The following is a 4,508-nucleotide window of genomic DNA, read 5'->3' on the forward strand; positions in this document are numbered from 1 at the left end:
TTGCCACAATTTCAGATCCTGTTATTGGTCTATTCAGAGATTCAACTTCTTCCTGGTTTAGTCTTGGGAGAGTGTATGTGTCGAGGAATTTATCCATTTCTTCTAGATTTTCTAGTTTATTTGCATAGAGGTGTTTGTAGTATTCTCTGATGGTAGTTTGTATTTCTCTGGGATCGGTGGTGATATCCCCTTTATCATTTTTTATTGCATCTATTCGATTCTTCTCTCTCTTTTTATTAGTCTTGCTAGCGGTTTATCAATTTTGTTGATCCTTTCAAAAAACCAGCTCCTGGATTCATTAATTTTTGAAGGGTTTTTTGTGTCTCTATTTCCTTCAGTTCTGCTCTGATTTTAGTTATTTCTTGCCTTCTGCTGGCTTTTGAATGTGTTTGCTCTTGCTTTTCTAGTTCTTTTAATTGTGATGTTAGGGTGTCAATTTTGGATCTTTCCTGCTTTCTCTTGTGGGCATTTAGTGCTATAAATTTCCCTCTACGCACTGCTCTGAATGCATCCCAGAGATTCTGTTATGTTGTGTCTTTGTTCTCGTTGGTTTCAAAGAACATCTTTATTTCTGCCTTCATTTCGTTATGTACCCAATAGTCATTCAGGAGCAGGTTGTTCAGTTTCCATGTAGTTGAGCTGTTTTGAGTGAGATTCTTAATCCTGAATTCTAGTTTGATTGCACTGTGGTCTGAGAGATAGTTTGTTATAATTTCTGTTCTTTTACATTTGCTGAGGAGAGCTTTACTTCCAAGTATGTGGTCAATTTTGGAATAGGTGTGGTGTGGTGTGGTGCTGAAAAAAATGTATATTCTGTTGATTTGGGGTGGAGAGTTCTGTAGATGTCTATTAGGTCCACTTGGTGCAGAGCTGAGTTCAATTCCTGGGTATCATTGTTGACTTTCTGTCTCACTGATCTGTCTAATGTTGACAGTGGGGTGTTAAAGTCTCCCATTATTAATGTGTGGGAGTCTAAGTCTCTTTGTAGGTCACTCAGGACTTGCTTTATGAATCTGGGTGCTCCTGTATTGGTTGCATATATATTTAGGATAGTTAGCTCTTCTTGTTGAATTGATCCCTTTACCATTATATAATGGCCTTCTTTGTCTCTTTTGATCTTTGATGGTTTAAAGTCTGTTTTATCAGAGACTAGGATTGCAACCCCTGCCTGTTTTTGTTTTCCATTTGCTTGGTAGATCTTCCTCCATCCTTTTATTTTGAGCCTATGTGTGTCTCTGAACGTGAGATGGGTTTCCTGAATACAGCACACTGATGGGTCTTGACTCTTTATCCAATTTTCCAGTCTGTGTCTTTTAATTGGAGCATTTAGTCCATTTACATTTAAAGTTAATATTGTTATGTGTGAATTTGATCCTGTCATTATGATGTTAGCTGGTGATTTTGCTCATTTGTTGATGCAGTTTCTTCCTAGTCTCGATGGTCTTTACATTTTGGCATGATTTTGCAGTGGCTGGTGCTGGTTTTTCCTTTCCATGTTTAGCACTTCCTTTAGGAGCTCTTTTAGGGCAGGCCTGGTGGTGACAAAATCTCTCAGCATTTTCTTGTCTGTAAAGTATTTTATTTCTCCTTCACTTATGAAGCTTAGTTTGGCTGGATATGAAATTCTGGGTTGAAAATTCGTTTCTTTAAGAATGTTGAATATTGGCCCCCACTCTCTTCTGGCTTGTAGAGTTTCTGCTGAGAGATCCACTGTTAGTCTGATGGGCTTCCCTTTGAGGGTAACCCGACCTTTCTCTCTGGCTGCCCTTAACATTTTTTCCTTCATTTCAACTTTGGTGAATCTGACAATTATGTGTCTTGGAGTTGCTCTTCTCGAGGAGTATCTTTGTGGCGTTCTCTGTATTTCCTGAATCTGAATGTTGGCCTGCCTTGCTAGATTGGGGAAGTTCTCCTGGATAATATCCTGCAGAGTGTTTTCCAACTTGGTTCCATTCTCCCTGTCACTTTCAGGTACACCAATCAGACATAGATTTGGTCTTTTCACATAGTCCCATATTTCTTGGAGGCTTTGCTCGTTTCTTTTTATTCTTTTTTCTCTAAACTTCCCTTCTCGCTTCATTTCATTCATTTCATCTTCCATCGCTGATACCCTTTCTTCCAGTTGATCGCATCGGCTCTTGAGGCTTCTGCATTCTTCACGTAGTTCTCGAGCCTTGGTTTTCAGCTCCATCAGCTCCTTTAAGCACTACTCTGTATTGGTTATTCTAGTTATACATTCTTCTAAATTTTTTTCAAAGTTTTCAACTTCTTTGCCTTTGGTTTGAATGTCCTCCCATAGCTCGGAGTAATTTGATCGTCTGAAGCCTTCTTCTCTCAGCTCGTCAAAATCATTCTCCATCCAGCTTTGTTCCGTTGCTGGTGAGGAATTGCGTTCCTTTGGAGGAGGAGAGGCACTCTGCTTTTTAGAGTTTCCAGTTTTTCTGTTCTGTTTTTTTCCCCATCTTTGTGGTTTTATCTACTTTTGGTCTTTGATGATGGTGATGTACAGATGGGTTTTTGGTGTGGATGTCCTTTCTGTTTGTTAGTTTTCCTTCTAACAGACAGGACCCTCAGCTGCAGGTCTGTTGGAGTACCAGGCCGGCTGTGTGAGGTGTCAGTGTGCCCCTGCTGGGGGGTGCCTCCCAGTTAGGCTGCTCGGGGGTCAGGGGTCAGGGACCCACTTGAGGAGGCAGTCTGCCCGTTCTCAGATCTCCAGCTGCGTGCTGGGAGAACCACTGCTCTCTTCAAAGCTGTCCGACAGGGACATTTAAGTCTGCAGAGGTTACTGCTGTCTTTTTGTTTGTCTGTGCCCTGCCCCCAGAGGTGGAGCCTGCAGAGGCAAGCAGGCCTCCTTGAGCTGTGGTGGGCTCCACCCAGTTCCAGCTTCCGGGCTGCTTTGTTTACCTAAGCAAGCCTGGGCAATGGCGGGCGCCCCTCCCCCAGCCTCGCTGCCGCCTTGCAGTTTGATCTCAGACTGCTGTGCTAGCAATCAGCGAGACTCCGTGGGCGTAGGACCCTCCGAGCCAGGTGCAGGATATAATCTCGTGGTTCGCCGTTTTTTAAGCCCGTCGGAAAAGCGCAGTATTCGGGTGGGAGTGACTCGATTCTCCAGGTGCCATCTGTCACCCCTTTCTTTGACTAGGAAAGGGAAACTCCCTGACCCCTTGCGCTTCCCGAGTGAGGCAATGCCTCGCCCTGCTTCGGCTCACACATGGTGCGCGCACCCACTGACCTGCGCCCACTGTCTGGCACTCCCTAGTGAGATGAACCCGGTACCTCAGATGGAAATGCAGAAATCACCCGTCTTCTGCGTCGCTCACGCTGGGAGCTGTAGACCGGAGCTGTTCCTATTCGGCCATCTTCCTTACCCACCAAAAAAATTTATTTTCAAGATTAGGGAAGTTAAAAGGTTTATTTAAGATGTCAGATTTTTATATGTTACCAGAACAATTTCTTTTTTCATTCCTGCCAGGCCAATACTGACCAAAGAAAGCCAAGGATGGTGCACTTCATCTACCAATAAATAATAATGTTTGAGCTTAATTATGAGGACTGTTCTATAAAATCTTGAGTTTGGGGCTTTGTAGATTGTACTATTGTCATCTTATTTATAACTACATACAGGCTTCATGCTGCATGGTCCATATATTTACCTATGATAATTTAGAACCAGGATCTTTATTTGGTCTTATAAAGAACTAGGCATTGTAATAATGGTATACAGTTTAACACACCCAAGCCAGCTGGCATATAGGATGTTCTCCACTGGAATAGAGTGTTCGTCAAGGTAAGTTTGGGGGTCCTGCCATTATGTTAAATTTTTTAAAGTCGGTAAAACCATTCAAGTCAATTATTCTTATAAGAGACAACTGGTTTGGTAAAACTGACCTTATAATGGCTTTGAGAAGGAAAGGTTACAACTGTCCCTTCCCTGCTTCTGCTATATCCAATAAGCACAGTGGGTTTGAGCTCAAATAAATATCTAAAAGAATAAATGACATAGAAACAAACACTGTATGTACTATGCTTTTTGTAAACTGCCCTCTTTGAATTTGTGAAATAGCTTGGAACAAGTAGCTGGCATGTGTTGCTAAAATGCTTTTTCATGCTTTGGCATTAAGGGGCTTCCACAGTTCCCAGTTGGTGATAATCACAGGGTGTGTTTGCGCCGTTCAGGCTTCACTAGAATACTTTCTTTGGAGGAAAGCTTTGGGTGGTTTCCCAGGTTCGATTTTTTTTTTAAATCACTAAAATGTGTTTTTTACTTGCAAATTAACTTGTGTTATTGTATTACAATTAAATGTTTACAGCTTGGAAATTTTTTCCTTTTCTTTGAAAAACATTTCTGTTTATTTTTTCTCCGTAGGTCAGAGGAAACCCAATCCACATTGGAACAAGGCTTCTTAAGACATGGATGTAATTTGGTGGTAAGATGGATTCAACGTTATTCCCCTGACCTTTCTCACTTTCACCTTCTCCCTTGTGCACTCATTTCATCATAGAGGTGG

At 41.9% G+C, this 4,508-nt stretch overlaps 2 annotated features.

The window, feature by feature from the left end:
* Positions 2,483-3,067: an enhancer, noted in NCBI's record as "NANOG-H3K27ac-H3K4me1 hESC enhancer chr8:122346168-122346752 (GRCh37/hg19 assembly coordinates)". NCBI's record gives its function as "activates a minimal SCP1, AML or CMV promoter by ChIP-STARR-seq in primed H9 embryonic stem cells {active_cell/tissue: H9 hESC(primed)}" and the evidence as "EXISTENCE:reporter gene assay evidence [ECO:0000049][PMID:30033119]".
* Positions 3,068-3,652: an enhancer, noted in NCBI's record as "NANOG-H3K27ac-H3K4me1 hESC enhancer chr8:122346753-122347337 (GRCh37/hg19 assembly coordinates)". NCBI's record gives its function as "activates a minimal SCP1, AML or CMV promoter by ChIP-STARR-seq in naive H9 embryonic stem cells {active_cell/tissue: H9 hESC(naive)}" and the evidence as "EXISTENCE:reporter gene assay evidence [ECO:0000049][PMID:30033119]".

The sequence above is a fragment of the Homo sapiens genome, chromosome 8, assembly GCF_000001405.40.
Source record: "Homo sapiens chromosome 8, GRCh38.p14 Primary Assembly".
NCBI lineage: Eukaryota > Metazoa > Chordata > Mammalia > Primates > Hominidae > Homo > Homo sapiens.